This window comes from Homo sapiens, chromosome 11 (assembly GCF_000001405.40).
Source record: "Homo sapiens chromosome 11, GRCh38.p14 Primary Assembly".
NCBI lineage: Eukaryota > Metazoa > Chordata > Mammalia > Primates > Hominidae > Homo > Homo sapiens.
In genome coordinates, this window is record NC_000011.10 from 119,527,179 (window position 1) to 119,550,159 (window position 22,981).

At 48.8% G+C, this 22,981-nt stretch overlaps 2 annotated features.

Moving 5' to 3' along the window:
• Positions 6,479 to 7,008: an enhancer, noted in NCBI's record as "H3K4me1 hESC enhancer chr11:119404367-119404896 (GRCh37/hg19 assembly coordinates)". NCBI's record gives its function as "activates a minimal SCP1, AML or CMV promoter by ChIP-STARR-seq in primed H9 embryonic stem cells {active_cell/tissue: H9 hESC(primed)}" and the evidence as "EXISTENCE:reporter gene assay evidence [ECO:0000049][PMID:30033119]".
• Positions 19,435 to 20,148: an enhancer, noted in NCBI's record as "H3K4me1 hESC enhancer chr11:119417323-119418037 (GRCh37/hg19 assembly coordinates)". NCBI's record gives its function as "activates a minimal SCP1, AML or CMV promoter by ChIP-STARR-seq in naive H9 embryonic stem cells {active_cell/tissue: H9 hESC(naive)}" and the evidence as "EXISTENCE:reporter gene assay evidence [ECO:0000049][PMID:30033119]".

Here is a 22,981-nt window from a genome sequence, read left to right on the forward strand (position 1 = left end):
AAAGTTGGCAGAGCCAGGTGGTTGAGTTGGTGAGACGGAGATTGGGTTGGAGGAGGCTAGAATCTGTGAGGAAGAATCCTGGGGAGAAGGGAGCTGCAGGCAGAGTTCGGGAAGCCTGTAGAAAGGTCCTCAAAACTTTGGCTGAACACTGAGCTGACAGAAAGCAGTAGGCTGAACAATTAATTCCTGGAGCTTACATGCGGCTGTGGCTCAGATTCCCACCAGTGAGTGGAGAGTGCTTGCAGTACCTGGTGCATTGGATAGAGGCCTCCTGAAGATGCTACTGTAGCCCTGACGCCTGTCCTGAACTCAGTCTAACAGAGCTTAAAAACAAGCATTAAAAGGATCAAAGCAATTCCAAATAACTGAGCCAGAACAAAGTCCAACACTCTTTAAAAGAATAGAATAAGATCCAGAACTCAGCAATGTAAAATTCACAATATCCATCATCTAATAAAAAAATTAAGTCATGCAAAGAAGCAGGAAAATACGGCTTATAACCAGAAGAAAAATCAATCAACAGAAACAGACCCAAAAATCAACAGAAACAGAAAAATGATGAAATTAGCAGAAAGGATACTAAAGCAGTGATTATAGATTATGTTCCATATGCTCAGAAATGCAGAGGAAAACATGAACATGATGAGAAGAGAGATGGAAGATTTAAGAAAAACAAATGTAATTTATAAAGATGAAAATAGAATATCTGAAATAAAAATACTGTTGAACAAATAAATGATTTTATTTCTGCTGTTGCTCCTATCAAAACCATATGGGTCAGGGGTGGGGGAGAGCGACTCAGTGGCTCACGCCTGTAGTCCCAGCACTTTGGGAGGCCGAGGTAGGCAGATCGATTGAGCCCAGGAATTCAAGACCAGCCTGGGCAACAGGGCAAAACCCCGTCTCTACAAAAAAAAAAAAAAAAAAAAAAAAAGAGAAATAAAATTAGCTGAGCGTGGTGGCATATGTCTGTAGTCCCAGCTATTTGGGAGGCTGAGGTGGGAGAATCACCTGAGCCTGGGAGGTTGAGGCTGCAGTGAGCCATGATTGTGCCACTTGCACTACAGCCTAGGTGACAGAGTCACTCACTGTTGTTTCAAAACAACAATAACAACAACAAAAAACCCCACATGGGGTGTGAGAGGCATGTTTTTCCAAAAAGCTTATTCTCCCTGCAGCCTGTGCTTGCCCCTCCCCCCACCTTGAGATGGCATGAGTTGACTGCATTCACTTTCCCAGCTCCGCCGGACTCTGTGGAAACAGGCTTCTTTTCTATTTGGTCCTCAAATACAATCTAGATTTCAGGTTGCAAGCAGTGGCTCTCCTCAGTCACCTTTCAGCTGATGTTTCCTGAGCCCCTCCCATGTCCTCTGATCTGAGTGCACTCCACCTCCCGTCCAGCATCATCATGAGCCTCTCCTCTCCATCAGTCCCACTGTATCCCACACTTAGTCGTGGGGCTCTTGTAAGGGGATGATGAGCAAGACCCGGCCTCTGCCCCATGGAGCTCCGAGTCTAGCCAGGTTTGCTCAATGCAAGGAAGAAAGTGACAAGGTTCATGAGATCAGTGTGGACAGGTACTTAGGGAGAAAGAAAGCCTCATGTGGAGGTCAGAGAAGGCTTCATGGAAGAGGTGGCATCTGTGCTGGGTTTTGAAGGATGGATAAGATTTGGGCTGCTGGGAATGAAGGGACGGGTATTCTGGGCAAAACTGGGCGTCATCCTGAACTCCCTCACCTCTTATTTCCCCTTCTCTCAGCACATTTGTCATCTGCCTACCGGCACTGCCGTGAAGCCTGGTCCCGAGCACCTGAGCCTCTCATTTCTCATCCCCCTCGCATTTCATCTCACCCCTTTCCTTCTCTCCCTTCTCTTCCTTCTCTCATATTTTGAATGCAAAATATGAACAGCTCCTAAAAAGGGCAGAGTTGTTCATCGACGGCTTTCCACATATCAGCTGACCTTCAGGGTGCCTCGGGGTGTGGTGGGCATGTGCAAATGAGCAGGGCTGGAGGGAGGCTGAGCAGTGGGTGGCGGAGGTGCCCATCCTTCAGGTATGCTTGTTCTAGATAAGGATGAGCTTGTTATTGACAATGATGTCACTGGACAAAGCCCAAGGAGGGAGGATCGGGAGTGGGGGTTCCCTGTGGTGGGAGGTTTGAGCAAATGGGGAGCTCAGACACCAGCTCTGAGGTGACGCATGCACCCCTCCTCCCTTCCCACCTCCCTGGGTCTGCCATCTTCCCTGGAGTGGCTTCTGCCTGTCATCCAGGCAGATGTCCCTCCTCTCCCTTCCCCACAGCAGGGTGGAGAGGTGGTGTCCACGGGGTGGCAGACAGAAAGTCTGGGTGAGCGCTCAACCTCCTAGGACTTTCCACCTGAAACCTCAAGATCCAAGCTGGGGCAGTGCTGGCCTGTAGCTCTGGGCATCAACTGAGCCAGCCTGGGGAAAATCTGGGAAAAGGGCACCACAGTGGGGTGGCTGTGAGGCCTAACTTTGGTGCCACGTGGCGCTGGGCCAGAATTGCATCTCCACTATCTAAGTGCTTGAGGTAAGTTTCTTAACCTCCAATCTGCAGTGTCCTTATCTGTAAAATGGAGACAATGAAACTGCCTACCTCTCAGTGTGGGCATGTTAAGCAGTGCGTAAGGGCAGGTGCTGTTATGATTATGTCACCTCGTTGTTGTTGTTGGCAGACTTGCTGAGAGGACGGTGGCTGCACCCCCACACCTTGTCCTGGTTCCCCTCTCATCACCCCTTCCTCCAGCTGCTGTTTCTAAGCCCCAGCTTCCTGACCCCTGCTCTGGACCCTTGTCTGACAGCCCCCAGAGGGACTCATCATGTCCTTAATTGCAATTCTCTTGCTCAGCAAAGCCATCAGCACCTAATGTCCCATGTCATTGCTGGTTCTCTGTCTGCAGACACCTCGCTCCTCCTCGGAGCTGCTCAGCCACCCAGGCAATGCCATCTGGCCAGGAAAGGCCACGGCACGGAGCAGTGCCAGGACCTTCTGGGGATGCATTGGTGACAATTTGCTTACAAATAATTTAATATCAGAGGGCAGAAGACTTCATGACTCTATCCCTGGCTCTTTCTGCCACTATGAACCTCCACCCTATCTTCTCCTTGAAATCACAGAGGTACCACTTCTCTCTAACACCAAGGCGTCCCCATCTCCTGCTGAGCTGGCCCCAAACCCAGTGAAGAACTGCAGTCCCCCCGCCTGACTTGGCTCTGATGCCCTTGTTGAGTTTTTAAGGTGGGGCCCAGCAAAAAGCCAGAGCTGGGGAAGGGGAACTTGAAGGAAGACTTGGAACCCAGCAGAGACCAGGATCAAGGGAGAACTTATCCCAGGGGTCTGCGTTCCCATTCTCTGGGTCCCAGTGCAGGGCCCCCTACCCTGGGCAGAACCTCTGCTAATCCAGTCAAGCCACTGCTGAAGCCGTTCTCACAGGGTGAACAAGAATTCTGGACAGAAATATGGTGATAAGCATTAATCAGGCTGCACTTGACCCACTCCTTTGTAACCGACAGTCACGTAGAACTTGACACTGGCCATTTGCATCCCAGTTGTTCCTATAGATAAGATATCTGGTGTTAGAGTCATAAGACTTTTGTTTAAGAATTACTTAAGCAGATCCTGAATTCCAGTGAAACACCTGACACCAATCATTTTGAAGACCCCTAAAGAGGAACCGAGTCCGGGTGAGAACACAGTTTCTTCATCTCCCTGTCCCATAACTTCACCCTGTACTCGAATCAATCGACAATCTCCACACTCTGGCCCCCTCCAAAACCATTCAAAACCCTAGCCCCAGACTCCTTGGGGAGACGGATTTGAGGTTTCCTTCTGTCTCCTTGTTTGGTGGCCCTACAATTAAACCCTTTCTCTGATGTAACCTGGTGTTTCAGCATATTGACTTGTCATGCACAATGGGCAACAAACCTCTTACGGTTACACTGCTGCCCCTCCTCCCAGCCTCAGCACCCAGGGGCACCCAGGATCACAGGGAGCAGCTTCCTCAGGAGTCCACACCCAGCCCTGGCCTGAGAGTGGCTTGCTTAGGCTGCCTGCCCCCCACCCCCAGGATGAGGCCGAAAGTATGTGGGCAGTTCTAGCAGCCAGCCCAGTCGAGTCCAGGACAACAGACTTGTTCCCAGGGAGCCCAGAGACACCCCAGGTTCAAAAGAGAGCTCAAAGAGAGGCCCTCCAGGGGAGCAGGAGCCCTGCTGGCTGCAATCCTGGTCCCCCCCAACTCCAGTACCTCCATGTCCAGCCATGTTCCGGCCACCTCCACTCCCAGGCTTGTGGGAGATTTGTCTTTCTTACCATGAGCCCAGGAGGAGATAGAGACCCCGTTGCTGGTTTCTCTCAGTACTGCTGGGATCTGCTGGCATTCTCACAAAGAACTTCCATAAATACTAAGGGGGAACAAAAGGGAAGTAATTACAGCAAATACAAACAGCATGAAAATAGTCAAGTTTTTAAAGTACCGGTTTCCCAGCCTCAGACAACCACCCTGGAGCCCTGGGGGCTGGTCTGCCTTCCCAGCGGGCCCTGTGCCAATGCTCCCACCTTCCCGGACTCGCCTGGTGCTGCCCATCAGGATCTTGGCACCTGCAGGTCTGGGGGCCAGGCTGAAGCCCCCACCTTTCATTTCTAGTTTTCCACGTGAGGATTTGCCTCACCACAGCTGGCCACTGGAGCTGCAGCATCTGACACACTGAATAACTCACCTTTCAGGTGCACGCGAAGGCCTCAACCATCTGGAGAACACCTGCTGCAACAGGTAACACCCCCGTGTCCAGGCCCAAGGCCTTGTCCATTGCACACCCACAGCCCAGCCCTGTTTTCACTACCTTGATGGACAATTGTTGGAGTTAACTCTCCAACTATCCACGAACCCTGATCCATCCTGCTCACACACAGCAGTGAGCACATCGAAGCCATTTGTTCAATGTGACCCAACCCCCTGAATTGATGCTGGCTGGATTAGAAAAAGCACCTGAGCCAAGCTGGACCCATGAGAATTCAGTCTTTGGGGCACTGGAGTCAGGGCGCAGGGACAGTCTCTTCAGAGAGTTCTCTGTCTATTCCACATACATTTGGGAGCTGTGGGTGGTCACCTTGGGTCATGAGGTCTGCCCACAGAAAAAAATGAAGCAGGTGTGCAGGAGAGATGGTGACCTGGAATTCCCAGGGCCTGGTGGCTTTGCTGTCCTCAATCCTTCCTTGCTGAGGCTCCACCACACTCCTGCCTTTAGCTTCTACAAGACACTCCTAAGTTCTTTCAGTAAATTGCCTCTTTGGGCTGAAATGCTAGTTTGAGTGGGTGTCTGTAACTTGCAACCCCAGGATCTCAACCCCTCGCCACACTGTAAGTGATAAAAACATAGTGTAGTTGGGGCCCCAAGAGGACCAAAGCTAGGCACTTGCTGGGGACTTGCAGGAGGAACTGAGAAGGCCCTTGGAAACAGGTGAGAGAATGGAGGGACACCAGGTATATCTCTCCCTGGTAGGGGAGCTGTTGGGGTGGGGACCCCGGAGAGCTCATGAATGGGGCAGGTCTAGCAAAGGAGAGACCCTTTAGAGCACTGCTTCTCCTGTAGAATCAATGTCAACTTGTCAGTAAACGGACTGCTGATGCAGCAGGATCTTTAAGCCCAAGTCCCCACACTCTTTCCAGCATCCCACCTTCTGGCCAGACCCCCACTCCCACCCCCTGCCTCCATGGCTGTGTAATGCACCAGACTAGGAGTCTGAGACCTGAGTTTGAGCCCCAGTTCAGCCACTGATGGGCTGTGTGAGTTTGGGCAAGTAACCCCACCTCCCTGGGCCTTGGCCCCCTTATCCAAAACGTGGCCGCCATAATCTCCTTCTATTTTGCATGGCTCCTTCGAATTCTCCCTCCCTTCTCCGGTCCCTTCCTCCTTTGCCCCTTCCTTCTGCTTGGCACTTGCCTGCCCAGCAAGCCTCCCCTTCTGATCCATGCAGTTCAGTGCACTCCCATCCGCTTCCTACAGCTCAGGAAACTGTGAGGGCCAGGCACTGGTGTGTACGGTGCCTTTGAATCTTACTTTAGGTTAAGATGCTCACCCGGTCTCCCCTTTCAGAAGGAGACCCTCTGAGGGCAGAGATCTGGTCCTCTTCTCCTTCTTCTAGACCGCTCAGTGTGCCTGGAACAGGGCTGAGCCCACAGCAGGGTGCCTGGATGAGCCCTGCCCTGCCGGCCTGTTCCCTGACCTTTCCTCCAGCCCTTTCCCTTCCCCACCCCTGGCAGGGAGGATGCTCCAGAGCCCGCAGTCCAAACTAAGCCAGAGTTGGGGGTCCCCAGCCTCTCCAGAAAGCCAGCTCCAGCCATGGGAGGGGGCATTGCTGGCTGTTTCTTCCCCACAGGCCTGCTCTCCTCACCCCTGCACCCTTCTGTCTGGAGGGGAGGCAGTGTGCCTCACCTGAGCCAGTCACCACAGCCCCAGTGCAGCTGGCTCCTTCCCTTCCTCTCCCGCTCCCTGGCATGGACCAGCACACCGTTCTTCTCCCACCGCCCATCCTCAGTTGCCCCTCGCCTCCCCCCACCGCCTTCTGTTCCCATGCTGGCGTGTCTCCCCCCCCAGGCAGCTGGGAGCAGGGCGCCTTCGATTTCTCTATTCAGTCTGAGGCGTAGCAATTTTCTGCTCTCCCATAATTAGGGGAATTTTAAGCAAACTCCCCGACGGATGATTACAGCAGGTTCAATCCTGGCTCCTTTGATCAGGGAAGAATGAGGACGTTGTTGGAATATTCCTCAACCTGCTGGCCAGACAGGCTCTGCGGCGCACGCCCGGCTCTCGGGCTCCCCCTGGAGGGCTTTGAACTTGTGTCCTGGCGTCTGAGTGTCCCTGGGTGCTGGAGTCTCCCCAGGAGAGGACTGGGTCCAAATTCTGCTTCATGAAGGATTATCCCAGAGGTAGCTTCTCTAGCTTTGGGCCAATATCTGGGCTCAGAGCCAGAGTTGGAAGTGGTCTCTTGGGTAGGAAGGAAAGTTAAAGGGTCATGTAGGGCAGTCTCCCAGGGCTGCTGTGAATGGCCGTGCAGGCCATACACTGTGCCCTCTAGGGGACATTATTCTCCCTGTAGCTTGTGTGAATGGGACTCCTAGGGTTTGTGCAATGTCCAGCCTGCACAACACAACTGACAGCTTGAACCGCTTGAATGACTCCACTTTTCTAAAACGGCAGAAGAGCCTCCTCCTTAGGGTTGAAAGGGGCTCTCCTCTGTTTAGTCCATTTCCCTCGCCTGTTGTGCCTGCCCAAGGCAGTGTGGAAGAGAGAAAAAAGCATGGCCTTTGCAGCCACAGCCTAGAGGGGAATTCCAGTGTGAATGTTTCCTGGCCGTGTAACCTTGGGTTAGTTAATGAACCTCCCTGAACTTTAATATCAATCTTAAAGGACTGTTTTGAAGATTAAGTAAGAGATGGACTAAAACATTGCTTGGCCCTTATGAGTCCTCAATAAATATCACTCCCCTCTCCTTTCCCTGCCCACGTCACACTTTCCTCTTAAACATTTCATCTTCCCAGACAAACCCTTTCTCCTCTGTCTGCCCCAGTCCTGAGTCCCCCAAAGGCTGTGCCAGATAGCAGACTGCATAGCTATATATATATATATATTTTTTTTTTTTTTCTTTTTTAGACAGAGTCTTGTTCTGTCACCCAGGCTGGAGTGCAATGGCATGGTCTTGGCTCACTGCAACCTCTGCCTCCCGGGTTCAAACAATTCTCCTGCCTCAGCCTCCTGAGTAGCTGGGACTACAGGCGCACACCACCACACCCTGCTAATTTTTGTATTTTTGGTAGAGACGGGGTTTCGCTATGTTGGCCACGCTGGTCTCGAAATCCTGACCTCGTGATCTGCCCACTTCGACCTCCGAAAGTGTTGGGATGACAGGCGTGAGCCACCGCGCCTGGCCCAGACTGGGTATATTAATAGGCTGCTAATGTCTCTGGCATCCCCGAGCAGTGGTCCTGGCTTTTCCATAGGTTAATTAGGCCATATTTCAGGATAATTACGACTGTATATTCCTACACTAATTAAGTGGCTCTAAACCCTCTCCAGAATGCAGCTCTGTGAATCATAATTAAGCCTTACCACCAAGTTCCTCTGCCAGCCACGGAGCCCGGCGAGCAGCCTGTTGTCCCCACTCCCAGTCATGGGAAAGGCTGCGTCTGAACCATGGATTTGAAAAGGACCTATTTTCCCGGGATCAGGTCGAGATGATTCCCAATAAACATTGGATGAGGCTTTGCCCTGTTCCTCTTTTGTTTTCACAAGGAGAGAGAGGAATAGAAATACAGTGTTGATACAGGTTTATCTCCTTCTTCTCCCCGCTCTGTTGAGTAGATGTAAATGGATTCCCAGGGGATGCAGGTGGTCGGGGATGAGAAGGTGATGCATGCATGCCTAGGCATAGGGGTGCGTGTGTCAGACTTTGGTGAGTGTACGTGAGAATGTGTGTGCTATAGCTATTGTTCACTAGGGACTTATGTCTAATATTAGCCAGCCAAGTTCATGACTACCCAACAATGAAAACGCGTGTACCAGAAAACACCTGTTGGAGAGGGCTACATAGATCTTCTCATTCCCAGTTTTGTTCTTTAATTTTTTTTTCTTATTTTAGAGACAGAGTCTTTGTATTAGTCTGTTCCTCACACTGCCATAAAGAACGACTAGAGACTGAGTAATTTTTTTTTTAAAAAAAGGTTTAATTGGCTCACGGTTCTGCAGGCTGTACAGGAAGCATGGCTGGGGAAGCCTCTGGAAACTTTCAGTCATGGTGGAAGTGGAAGCAGGCATGTCTTACATGGCCAGAGCAGGAGAAGAGAGAAGAGGGGGAGGTGCCACACATTTTCAAACAATCAGATCTCATGGAAACTCACTATTACAAGAATAGCAAGGGGGAAATCCACCTCCGTGATCCAATCCCCTCCCACAGGCTCCTCTTTCAACATTGGGGATTATAATTTGACATGAGATTTGGGCAGGGACACAAATTCAAACCATATCCTGGTGGATAGTCTTGCTCTGTCAGTCAACCTGGAGTGCAATGGTGTGATCATAGCTCATTGCAGCCTTGGACTCCTGGGCCCAAGCAATCCTCTCACCTCAGCCTCCTGCATAGCTGGGACTACAGGAGCACACCATTGCACCTGGTTAATTTTTTTTTTCAGAGATGGGGTCTCACTACATTGCTCATGCTGGTCTTGAACTCTTGGTTTCAAGCAATCCTCCCGCCTTGGCCTCCCAAAGTGCTGAGATTACAGGTGTGAGCCACTGCACCTGACCTGTTTTGTCCTTAATGGACCTTGCAAATTAGGCTGTGCACAACCTGGTGTTGGCCAGCCCTTCTGGCTAATGTCAGGATTAGCCTGAATTATGGAGTTGTCAGAAGATCCAATTTTGAGTCTTGGCTCTACCACTTGCTGATTATGTTACCTTAAGGAAGTCATTTGGCCTCCTGAGCCTTAGCTTCTTATCTGGAAAATGAAAATATTACCAACTATCTCACAGAACTCCTGAGAAAATTAAATAAGACATGAGGATGGAGCCAGTGACCCCATGTGAGAAGGCAGTGAGTTCTGAGCTCTTCTTTCAGCCATGGAGAGGGGGCTCACGTGGAAAGGGCCACACTCCCTTCCGGGTCCTCTATCTGGTGGCTCTTAGTCCTGGTGTGTTCCATCTGTGTTCATGGGCCACAGAGGAACAGAATCCAGGACGTCATTGCAGTAGCACCAGCGTTCACCACTAGGACTCACTGGGATGCATGTGTTCTCCTTAATGAGGGAAAACACAAAGCCCCTCTCATCTTGTACTGCAGGAGCTTGGAAAGGTCACCATGGGTCAGGACAGCAGATGGAGGATGGATATGAAGATGTCTGGAAAGGGTTTCTGAATCAACAATGCACGGACCTCGATCCCTGGCTTGCAGTCCTTAAAACCCCTGGCCTCCCTGCCCTTGAAAGCATCTTCATTCCCCCACCCTGATCCCTGTAGTCCCACCTTCCCCGCCGTTCTGGGGCCAGCAGCCCAGGCAGCAAAGAGGAAACAGCGGAGACATGTCCTCTTTCTTGCTGTCTTTTTGTGAAGAGATGGCCGCAGGCACTCTAAGACACTAATCAAATAAGGACAGGTGACAATACACCAACATCTGTGGAAGCCAAGGAGACACTCGGCTGTCCTCAGTAACAGGACAGGGAAGGGAGGCAGCATTTATTTAACCTGGTTGTCACACACCGCCCCTGGCTTCTTTGACAAGAGAGCACTGTGTGAAGACACAGATAAGCTCTGCTGGAAAATTGACAGCAATGAAGGAGGCCCCAGCCTCTTCACTTCTGTGGCCTGTGGATTACGGCTGTGTTCAAATAGAGGGAGGTGAGAGGCACTCGCAGCTTCCCTGAAACACAATCTGTAGGTGCAGGGGAATGAGCCTTGTTCTCTGTAAGGAGGGAGGGAAAGCCCACCCTGGGCTAGCAGGAGATCAGAGCTCGGAGGATGGTCCTAGCTGACTATTGATGGAGAAGGGAACTTGCTTTCTTGGTAGAGATGCGGAGCAGATCCAAGGTGGACTTTCTACTGTTTGTGCTGAGGGAAGTGAGAAAGGGTGGAGCAGAAGGCAGAGGCTCAGCACATAGGAGTGGTGAGTGAGCTGGTCACGGTGAGCCTGCACAGCCGCCCATAGAGCTTCCTGGCAGCACAAACAAAGCTTGTAAGAGATCTCAGCCGAGGAGGAGTCTATTGAAGTGGGAGGCTGGGCAAGAGATAGGGGGGAGGCAACAGAGCAGAGCCACAGAGGCCAGGCTAGGGAAACAGATCCTCTTGCATGTGGATCTCACACTCACTTCTTGTGCACAGGAAAGCATGCACAATGCCTATTTACACACTTATGCATGCCCATATGTGTACAAACATCTGTGCATGCACACTGCTATGGTGGTATTGTTTATTTTTTGAGGTAGGGTCTCACTGTGTTGACCGGGCTGGAGTGCAGTAGTGCAATTATGGCTCACTGCAGCCTCGATCTCCTGGGCTCAGGGAATGCTCCTACTTCAGCCTCCTGAGTAGCTGGAACTATAGGCATGCACCACCATGCCCAGCTAATTGTTTTATTTTTATTTTGTAGAGACAGGGTCTTGCTACATTGCTCAGGCTGCTCTCAAACTCCTGGACGCAAGTGATCCTCCCACCTTGACCTCTCAAAGTGTTGGGATTACAGGCATGAGCCACTGTACCCAGCCATGGTTTGATTATATGAGCCCTCTAAATCTTATGTTGAAATCTAATCCCCAATATTGGAGGTGGGGCCTGGTGAGAGGTGTTTGTGTTGTGGGGTTGGAACCTTCAGCACCGTTCTTATGGGAGTGAATGAGTTTCCACTCTTAGTTCCCACAGGATTGTTGGGAAGAGCCTGGCACCTCCTCCCCTCTCTCTGTTGCTTTCTCTCTTGCCATGTGACCTACACATATGTCTCTGTTTGTCTTCTGCCACGAGTGGAAGCTTCCCAAACCCCTCACCAGAAGCAGATGCTTTGGTGCCATGCTTCTTGTACAGCCTGCAGAACCATGAACCAAAGAAATTTCTTTTCCTTATAAGTTACCCAGTCTTAGGTATTCCTTTATAGCAATGCAAATGGATTAAGACACAGACCTGGTGTTATGACTGAATGTTAATCCCCGCCCCCATGAATTCCTGTGTTGAAGCTCTCACCCACAATGTGATGGCATTTGGAGATGGGGCCTTTGGGAGGTGACTAGGGTTAGATGAGGTCATGAGTGTAGGGCACTCATGATGATGAAACCAGCCCAATTTCCCCATAAAACTGAAGCTTGAGAAACTTACATTTGTTTTATTTGAGTTCCTTTCTCAGGAAACTGTTAGTCCTGCAAGACACTATCAAGAAAATAAAACAGGCTGGTGCGGTGGCCCACACCTGTAATCCCAGCATTTTCAGGGGCTGAGGCAGGAGGATTGCTTTAGACCAGGAGTTCAAGACCAGCCTGGGTAACATAATAAGACCTTGTCTCTTAAAAAAAAAATTAGCCTGGTGTGGTGGCACCTCCAGATACTCAGGAGGCTGGGGTGGGAAGATCACTTGGGCCTGGGAGGTTGAGGCTGCAGTGATCTATGATTGCACCACTGTACTCCAGCTTGGGTGAAAGAGCAAGACCCTGTCTCAAAAAAAAAAAAAAAAAAAAGAAAAAAAAAGAAAAAGAAATGAACAAACAAACAAATTTCCTAGACCACCACATCCAATGAGACACACCTGCTGCCCATTGATCAATGCCTCTTCCTTACCCCTCCCTAATTCCTGTTTTCCTGCATGTGGTTACAATGGGACACCAGACCCTTCATCTGACAGCCTGCTGCCTATTGATCAACTTCTCTTCCTTACCACTCCCTAAGTCTCCGCTATATAAGCCCCTAACTTTAGTCAGTTAGGAAGACAGATTTGAGACTAGTCTCCCATCTCCCTGCTGATGTCACCTGCCTTAAAGTGTTCTTCCCGAGCAACACTTGTGTCAGTGATTGGCTTTCTGTGCAGCGAGCAACTGGACCTACGTCAAACCCCTGGCATTCAGCAAGAATGGGATTAGGGCTCTTATAAGAAGAGGCACAGAGAGCTGCCTTTCTTTCTCTCTCATCCTGCACATGCACTGAGGAAAGGCCATTTGAGCACATAGCAGGAAGGTGGTGTCTGCAAGCCAGGAAGAGGGCCCTCACCAGAACCCAGCCATGCTGGCACCCTGATCTAGACTTCCAGTCTCCAGAGTGTAAGAAAGTCCATTTCTGTTGGATAAGCCCCTGAGTCTATGGTATTGTGCTATGGCAGCCCTAGCAGACCAAGGCACCCATGTAAGCACACATGCATTAATGTGAGGGAGCAGAAGACATCCTGGCTGGAGCACTCATTCAAGGCCGCAGTATAGCCTTCCACACAGTTCACCTTGCTGAGCCTAGGTGTCTCCTTCTCCTCAGGGGGTTCACACTCCCTTCCTTGCTTACTTCAAAGAGCTGCCAGGATAATGAAACAGAAGAAAGATGGGAAGGCTCTCTGCAGACGGTAGATCTGCTGCAGCCCTGAGGCCCACTGAGGGCTCTATTGTGGTTCTCCCCAGGCCTATCCTGACCAGGGGCCAGGGCACTGGTGGCAGCTCCCTGTGCCTCCTCCAACAACCTCCACCAGGTGGGGAGGAGGATGAGGCCTGGGAATCCTTGCTGTCTCCTCCTTTGCCCTTGTCAGAGCCATGGGGGATGGGAAAGGAGCTCTGAGGTAGCCACTGTGCTTCTCCAGCTCAGCCCCACTAACCCACACAGCCCAGCACCCCCAACCCACACAACCCAGCACTCCCAACCCACACAGCCCAGCACCCCTAACCCACAGAACCCAGCATCCCCAGCCCACACAGCCATGGCTGTCCAGGGGTGCAGTGCTGGCCTTCTCTGTCTGAAGGGCTATGAGGGACAAGACCAGGAAAGACCAGAGGACCCAGAAGCTCCCCACCTAGAGAGAGCACCTAGAAACAGACTAGGAGGGCTGGGTTCTGCTCTGATCACAGCCTCTCCACTGCAGAGGACCCAGGAACCAGGTGTCCCTCTGGATGTGGGGCAAGAGGGCCATGGAGCTGGTGGGCTTGGGAGCTGATTTGCCTTTGTGTGTCCTGAGCATATGGAATTGGGGTGAGGGGTCGGATGGACCCTCATCATGGCGAAGGGGGGCCCGCGAGTAGGGGTGGACTGAAGCTTTGCCTCCAGCTTCCTAATGAAAGGAGGCCTTTTGGAGTCCCCTCCTGACCACTGAGTGCTGTAAGAAGGAGAGAAATGGGGAAGGGCGGAGAGGAAGACTCGGTGTCTCTGCCCTTTCAGTGGGCATGCCGGGCACTGGCCCTCTGAGGTGATGTCATGGAGCCCTGCCAGCTCCAGAGACAAATATCCAGATGTACCACGTGCAAGAGAAGCAGAGAGATGGGTACCTCTTCCTTCCTCTCACTTCGTATTTGTCACAAACATAGGCTCTGGAGTCACACAGACTCAGATCCAATCTGGACTCCACTACGCTCTAGCCCTGCCACCCTGCCACTTCAGCTCCCTAAGTCTCAGGCTGCTCATCTCATCTGTGACATGAGTATAACCGTAATGTCTACATTACACAGAGTTGTGTAAATGAAATAAGGTGGTGCATGTAAGATGCTCACAGAGGGCCCAGCCTGTGATTACCCTGAATGGACATGAACGGTGGCTCTCTCATTACCTTGCATTCCCTCCCGTCTGTAACTGCAGCTTAGGGCAGCCTCCCCTAAGTAGTTTCCTACAGTGGTAACTGCTGTGTGTAAAGAAAGCAAAGATGGTAATGCTGAGTGAGCAGAGGGTTGACTGCTGTAGACAAAGTGGTCAGGGATGGGCCCTTTGAGGAGGTAACATTTGAACTGAGCCTGGAATGACGAGAACTGAGCCTTGATTTTTGTCAGCAATACAAAAATTGGCAGAGATTGGAAGGGTGGAGAGGTAGGAGGTCACTTCAGGCGCCGGGAACAGCAAGTGGAAGAGCCCTATGTGGGGAGCAAGCTTATCATCTTTAAGGTGCTGGGAGAGGGCCAGCATGGCTGGGGCATCATAGATGCGGAGGAGAGTGATGAGAGTGCTGGAGACTTATTCAGGGCCCAAGTGCCTCCAGGACCCAGGATAGGGCCTGGCACAGAGAAGAAAAGGAATCAATGTTCTTGAATGAGGCAATGAGGTAAGGAGGGAATGGGGCAATGGCTCCTGGAGCTCAGGTCCTGGAAATAACATTTCCCTAGCCCTCTTGACTTCCTCAGCTGTGGCACAGAGACCAGCGGGGTTGGGGACTCAGATCTGGGAAATGTTCATTTCAACTAAATCTAATTATGTGGATATGAGGTTAAATTAGAGTCAAGAAGCTCTCCTGGCCAGGTGTGGTGGCTCATGTCTATCATCCTACCACTTTGGGAGGCCAAGACTCACTTCAGCCCAAGAGTTTGAGACCAGCCTGGGCAACATAGTGAGACCCCATCTCTACAAAAAAATTTAAAAATGTGTGGAGGCTGTGACCAGTGGCTCATGCTTGTAATCCCAGCACATTGGGAGGCCAAGGCTGGCAGATCACTTAAGGTGAAGAGTTCAAGACCAGTCTGGTGAACATGGTGGAACCCCGTTTCTACTAAAAATACAAAATTAGCCAGGTGTGGTGGAGCACAGTGTAATCCCAGCTGCTTGGGAGGCTGAGGCAGGAGAATCGCTTGAACCCGGGAGGCAGAGGCTGCAGTGAGTTGAGATTGCACCACTGCACTCCAGTCTGGATGACAGAGCAAGACACTGTCTCAGGAAAAAAAAAAAAAAAAAAAAGTGCGTCGAGGCGATCACCTGTGATCCCAGCTGCTCTGGAGGCTGAGACAGAAGGATCACTTGAGCCTGGGAGGTCGAGGCTGCAGTAAGCTGTGGTTGCGCCAGTGCACTTCAGCCTAGGTGACAGAGTCAGGTCCCATCTCTAAAATAAAATAAAATATAAAATAATAAAAAAGAATCTCTCCCAGGGATAGAGAGAAAGAATATTGAAAAATTAAGAGATGTGGAGGCCAGGAAGGAGAAGGCTAATAAATACTTATATGTGTCTATAATGAGTCTCTGAAACAGATGAAAGAGTACACAAAAAGGAGAAAATATTTTAAGAAAGTGACTTAACATTTTCCAGAACTAAAGAAACATATAAGCCCTCAGACAGAAGGTATTAAAGGAGTACTGAACCAGATAGAAAAGGAAAAAGACCTTACATATAGACACATTAGAGTGAATTTCTTAAAAATTTTTAATAGATTTTATTTTTTAGAGCAATTTTAGGTTCATGGCAAAAGTGAGCAGAGTTCCCATATACCCCCTGCCCTCCTCACCTGGTACCACTATCAGCGTCCCAGCACCAGAGTGGTCTATTTTTTACAACACACAACTATCGTCAAAAATCCATAGTTCGCATTATGGTTCAGTGTTGGTGCTGTCCATTCTATGGGTTTGGACAACTGTATAATGACATATATCCATCACTGAAGCATCACAGAACAATTCCACTGTCCCCCAGATATTCTGTGCTCTGTCTGTTCATTCCTTCCTCTACCCTAACCACTGGCAACCACTGATCTTTTTGCTGTCTCCACAGTTTTGCCTTTTCAAGAATGCCTTCTTGAAAGAAACATCTCCTATGTTATGTAGCCTTTTCAGATTGGCTTATTCCACTTAGTAATATGTATTTAAGATTATTCCATGTCTTTTCATGGCTCATTTCTTTTTTCTTTTTTTCAACAGAGTCACACAGGCTAGAGTGCAGTGGCATGATCTCAGCTCCCCACAACCTCTGCCTCCGATGTTCAAGCGATTCTCCTGTCTCAGCCTCCTGAGTAGCTGGAATTACAGGTGCCCACCACCACGCGCGGCTAATATTTGTGTTTTTAGTAGAAATGGGGTTTCACCATGTTGGCCAGGCCAGCCTCGAACTCCTGACCTCGGGTGATCAGCCTGCCTTGGCCTCCCAAAGTGCTGGCGTTACAGGCATGATCATGGCTCATTTCTTTTTAGCACTGAATGATATTCCATTGTCAGGATGTACCACAGTTTGTTTATCCATTCACCTACTGAAGGACATTTTGGTTGCTTCTAAGTTTTACCAGTTATGAATGAAGCTGCTATAAACATCTGTGTACAGATTTTTTTGTGGACATAAGTTTTCACCTCCTTTGGGTAAATACCAAAGAGTGGGCTTGCTGGATTTTACGATAAGAGTATGTTTAATTTGTAAGAAACCACCTAACTGTCTTCCACAGTGACTGTTCTATTTTTGCCTCCCCACCAGCAATGAATGAGAGCTCTCATTACTCCCTGCTTTCACCAGCATTTTGTGGTGTCCGTGTTTTGGATTTGGTCATTCTAATAGGTGTGTAATGATATGTCATTATTGTTTTAATTTGCAACTTCCTCATGACATCTGATGCTAAGCATCTTTCAATATGCTTATTTGCCATCTGTGTATCTTCTTTGCTGAGGTGTCTAGATCTTTTGCCTATTTTTTAATCGGGTTGTTTTCTTATTGTTGTGTTTTTTTGGAATTCTTTGTATATTTTGGATAGTAGTCCTTTATCAGATATGTCTTTTGCAAATATTTTCTCCCAGTCTGTGTCTTGTCTTCTCATTCTCTTGACAGTGTCTTTTGCAGAGCAGTTTTTTTTTTTTCCTTTCTGGAGATGGGGGTCTCCCTATATCTCCCAGGCTGGTCTCAAACTTCTGGGCTCAAGCGAGCCTCCTACCTCTCTGGAGTAACTGGGACAATGGATGTGTCCTACTTCCAGCTTAGAAGTTTTTAAATATATATATTTTTTGAGATGGAGTCTCACTCTGTCACCCAGGCTGGAGTACAGTGGTGTGATCTCGGCTCACTGCAACCTGTGCCTCCTGGGTTCAAATGATTCTTGTGCCTCAGCCTCCTGAATAAGTGGGATTACAGGCATGCATCACTATGCTCGGCTAATTTTTGTATTTTTAGTAGAGATGAGGTTTCACCAGGCTGGTCTCGAACTCCTGACCTCAAGGGATCCACCCACCTAGGCCTCCCAAAGTGCTGGGATTACAGGCATCAGCCACTGTGCCCAGCCTAGAAGTTTTCAGTGTTAATGTACCCCTGATTATTAATTATTTCTTTCATGGGTTGTGGCTTTGGTGTTATATCTATAAAGTCATCACCAAATTCAAGGTCATCTAAATTTTCTCCTATGTTATCTTCTAGGAGTTTTATAGTTTCTGTGATCCATTTTGAGTTAATTTTCATGAAGGCTATTTTTGTGAATGTGTCTAGATTTTTTTTTTTTGGCATGGGAGTGTCCAGTTGTTCTAGCACTATTTGTTGAAAAGGCTAAATTGTCTCCATTATATTGCCTTTCCTCCTTTATCAACAATCAGTTAACTACATTTATGTGGGTCTATGTCCTGCTCACTATTCTATTCTGTTGATCTAGTTACCTCTTCTTTTACCAATACCACACTGTCTTAATTACTGTAGGTTTATAGTAAGTTTCGAGGTAAGATTGTGTCAGTTCTCTGATTTTGTTTTTCTCCTTCAATATCATGTTGGCTATTCTGGGTCTTTTGCCTCTCCATATAAACTCTAGAATCAGTTTGTCAATCTCCACAAAATAACTTACTTGGATTTTAACTGGGTTGCAGTGAACTATAGATCAAGTTGGGAAGAATGGACCACTTGAAAATATTGAGTTTTCCTATTCATGAACATGGAATATATCTCCATTTATTTAGCTTTCTGATTTCTTTCATCAGAGTTTTATAATTCTTATCATATATATCATATATAGAGAAAGATTTATATCTAAGTAGTTCATTTTTTTGAGTGCGGATGTAAATGATATTGTATGTTTAATTTCAAATTCTGCTTGTTGCTGGTACTAAAGTAAAATTTAAGCACATCAAAAACAAAGACAGAAAGCTTCCAAAAAAAAATATCACCTACAAATAAGGAGAATTAAATGGACACTGAAATAATAAGCAATATCTAGAAACTGTTGGGGAAAAAGAATTTGAACCTAGAATTTTATATACCGCTGATAGCAGTGGTGGACTGTCTGGAGCAGCTGCTGCCGTCATGTTGGCTGCTGCAGGGAGGGTGCTGGGAGGAGGCAGATAGCCCCCTCACAGCCCACCACCTTGAGAAGAGGGAGGCCCTGAGGCAGAGCTGGGCTGGGGCCAGTGCTGTGGTTGCACACAGAGTGGGGTGGGGGTGGGGGTGGGGGACCAGGCCTGGGGTGCATAGCCGGGGCCGTGCTTCAGGGTCTGGGGAGGAAAGTAGGAGTGGCACCTGCTTTGGGGACCGGCCAGCGGCACAGCCACTGTACCCATACCCCAAGGATGCCAGGTTCCTGTGCCTCAGGAGGAGGCTCTGTGAGGGGCCACCAGGGGCCGCCTGGTCTGTGTCTCTGGGGTCCACCCTGTGATGGGAGACCACCAAGCCTGACACTCCAGTTGGCTGGGCCCAGGTCCCGAGATCCACTTTGCCTCGGGCTGCCCCTGAGCACCAGGGCAATGCTGGGAGCTTGTGGTGATGCCGCCCCTGCCCTGAACTCTGGCCTGGGCTCAGTGAGGACTGCAGCCCTTGCCCCAGGCTGCCAGGGGGGCATGGCCAGGGCTGCATGCTCCACAGAGCTGGCTGGAGCCAGAAGCAGGCAGCAGCCCTGCCCTCCCAGGTGCAGCTGCAGCTGCCCAAGTTGGGGTTGTGAACTTAGGCCTCCATATGCTCTTAGGGGCCCAAGAAGACCTCGCCACCCCCTCTGCCCTTGCAGGCTTGGAAGTGCCTACTCCTGCTGCCTTGCTTCTCCCCGCTGTCAGTGCTGGCTCCCATCTTGGAGCAAGGTCGGGGCCAAGTCTGGGTGTTGTCACAGCCCAGCTGGGTGTGCACATGCTTGGGGCAGTGCTGACATACCAGCCCTCTGCCACCTTGGCCCCTTCTGGACTTTGGGCATCAATGAGCATGGGAGGGAAGCCAAGGGGGTGGTGAGGGCAGCTTGGCACTGGCCTGTAGGCATCCATTGGCACAAACAGCCTGGGCGCCATGAAAGGCAGCAGGAGGCAGACAGGTTCCTGGGCAGAAGGGGGTGGTTCCCCAGTGGGGCCCCCACCTTCAGGCCAGGGACGGCCTGAAGGCTAAAGGCTGGGCTGCCAGTCCTGTGGACTGCAGTGGGAGCTTGAGGTGCCTTTTCCACCTGCCTATGGTCGTTCATGGACCAATCAGCATGCACTTCCTCCCCTCTGAGGCCCATAAAAGCCCCAGGCTCAGCCAGAGCTGAGAAGATGTCTGACGACCAGCTGCAGAGGGAAGCAACCCACTTCAGGGCCTCCTCTCTGCTGACAGCTGCAGAGACAACTGGATGACCTGCCTGCAGAGAAGAGTTTCCCTCTCCAGGATCTCCTCTCTGCTAGGAGCTGAACACCTGTTGGGACACCCTGGCTGTGGAAAGGAGCTGCCCCCTGGGGGAGACTGAGCTGTTCTATCACTCAATAAAGCTCCTCTTCATCTAGCTCACCCTCCACTTGTCTGTGTACCCCATTCTTCCTGGTCACAGGAGAGGAACTCAGGACCCATCAAATGGTGGGGCTAAAAGAACTGTAACACAAACAGGGCTGAAACATGCCTCTTGCTTGCCACATTATGAGTGAAAAGAAGAGAAGAGCTGCGGCCCTTCAGGTAGCCCAGACTTGGGAGCTACCCAAGCCAGGACTGTGACTGTCTCTTTGGGGCCCTGCGATTCCTGGTGTCTTCAAGTGTCCAGGTGCCACTGTGTTCCCCAGTGCCAGTGTGGAAGCTGCTTGCTGTGCACCTGGTCCAGTTGCAGCCTCGTAGGGAGCCGATGCCCATGACAGCACCTGGAGCTGCTCACCCCACTGCAGCAGCTGGCATGTCTGACTGTGAGCAGTGGCTGGACCCCATACTCGCTCACACACCTTTCACCATTCCACGCCTGACTTGCTCTTGGCAGGCATGGGACCCAGACCAGTAGCATGAGCTGAGCACAGCCCACCAGGCCAAGAGGGTGAAACAGGCCCAGCATTCTTGAACAAAACTTGGGCAAAGGTGCCACTGGCCACAGAGGTTTCTGGCCAGAAAAATGATACCCCAAAGATTCCATAACACTGCTAAATATTAATTTAAATACGAAGCCAAAGTAAAGTTATTTGCAGGCACAAAGATTGCATGAAAAATGTATTTTAGCAATTTAAAAAAAGTGGGCTGGTGCACTCCTGTAGTCCCAGCTACTCAGGAGGCTGAGGTGGGAGGACTGCTTGAGCCCTGGAAATCAAGGCTGCAGTGACCTAGTATCGCACCACTGCACTATAGCCTTGGTGAGCAAAACTCTGCCTCAAAATAATAATAATAATAATATAAGGTGACTCTAAGAGGTAGTACAAGAAAAATACGATTGGAAAAGAACTTATTGGCCGGGTGCGGTTGCTCAAGCCTGTAATCCCAGCACTTTGGGAGGCCAAGGCGGGTGGATCACCTGAGGTCGGGAATTCGAGACCAGCCTGACCAACATGGAGAAACCCCGTCTCTACTAAAAATACAAAATGAGCCGGGCATGGTGGCACACGTCTGTAATCCTACCTACTTGGGAGGCTGAGGCAGAAGAATCGCTTGAACCTGGGAGGCGGAGGTTGCAGTGAGCCAAGATCACACCATTGCTTTCCAGCCTGGGCAACAAGAGTGAAACTCTGTCTCAAAATAAATAAATAAATAAATAAAAGAAAAAACAAGGAAAAGAACTTATTAAATTTTATTGATGCTTGAATAAATGATGCATATATATCACATCTAAAGCAAAAATCCAAATAATATCAACATGATAGTAGTCGAGAGAGACAGGAGGTGGGAAGAGATGAAAAGAATAGCCAAAATATCTTCTATGTCTGAAAAATAAAAACATACTACTTTCTGGCCTTTGGATTAAAGAGGGAATCTTAACGGAAATTATGAATTACTTAGAATTGAATGTCAAAAAAAACTCTACATGTCAACAATACTGCTAAAGCATAGCAACAGGAAAATTTATAGCTTTAAGTAAATCTCTCAGAAAACAAAAAAGGCTGAAAACAAAAGAAATATGTACTCAAACCTGGAAGAGAAGGCCCAAACAAACAAGAAAAGGGGAAATGACAAGGTAAGAGCAGAAGTTGATGAAGTAGAGAACGATATCAAGAAAAACAAAAACAATAAGAATGATGAGTAAAAACAAATTTTTTTTGAAAACACTCACAAAATAAACTTCTTAAAAATGCTGATAAAAGAAACATCAAGAACACAAGAGAGCATTTCAAATAACCAAACTACAGAATTAAACAGGGGCTAAAACTAATATTTTAAAACATAAAATAATACTAGAAAAATTATACACATATACAACTATATACATTGGAAACCTAGATGAAATGCACAAATTTCTGGAAAATATATAATGCTGAAATTGATACAAGATAAACAGAAAACTAATAGCAAAATAGACAGATTTAAATGGTAATTATAAAAATCTCCCTGCCACCTTGAAAGTCCAAAGGCTCAGGATATTTTATAGGTAAGGTCTACCAAAATTTGAAGAGACAGCTAATTATGCACATTATATATGTTCAGTGTTTCATATTCCAATTATACCTCAATAAAGCTGAGGTAGAGGAAGAAAAAAACCCAACTAATTGGTATGTAACACAAATTGTTGCAGAAATAGAAAAGAAGGAAAGCTGTTCAGGCTGTTTCATGAACTTGATATAACTTGTATAAACTTGATTCCAAAAAAGAAAAAGATACAATATAAAAAGGAAATGTTAGGCCCCCTTTTTTTTTTTTTTTTTTTTTGAGATGGAGTTTCGCTCTTGTTGCCCAGGCTGGAGTGCAATGGCATGATCTTGGCTCACTGCAACCCAATCTCCGCCTTCTGGGTTCAAACGATTCTCCTGCCTCAGCCCCGCCGAGTAGCTGGGATTACAGGTGCCCGCCATCACGCCCAGCTAATTTTTGTATTTTCAGTAGAGACGGGGTTTCACCATGTTGGCCAGGCTGGTCTCAAACCACTGACCTTGTGATCCGCCCGCCTAGGCCTCCCAAAGTGCTGGGATTACAGGCGTGAGCCACTGCACCCGGCCTAGGCCACTTTTATTTACAAATATAGGTATAAAAAGCTTCAGTAAGGTATCAACTGAATCTAAAACTATTTTTAATACATAATTTTTCAAATAATATAATACTAAATAACATGAAACATCTAACTACTGACATACATAGTATAATTGGATCCTTACTGTTCAGTGAAAAAGTCAGTCACACAAGACCACATACTATATGATTCCATTCCTAAGAATTTTAAGATAGGAAAATGGATTTGTAGCGAGGGAGTT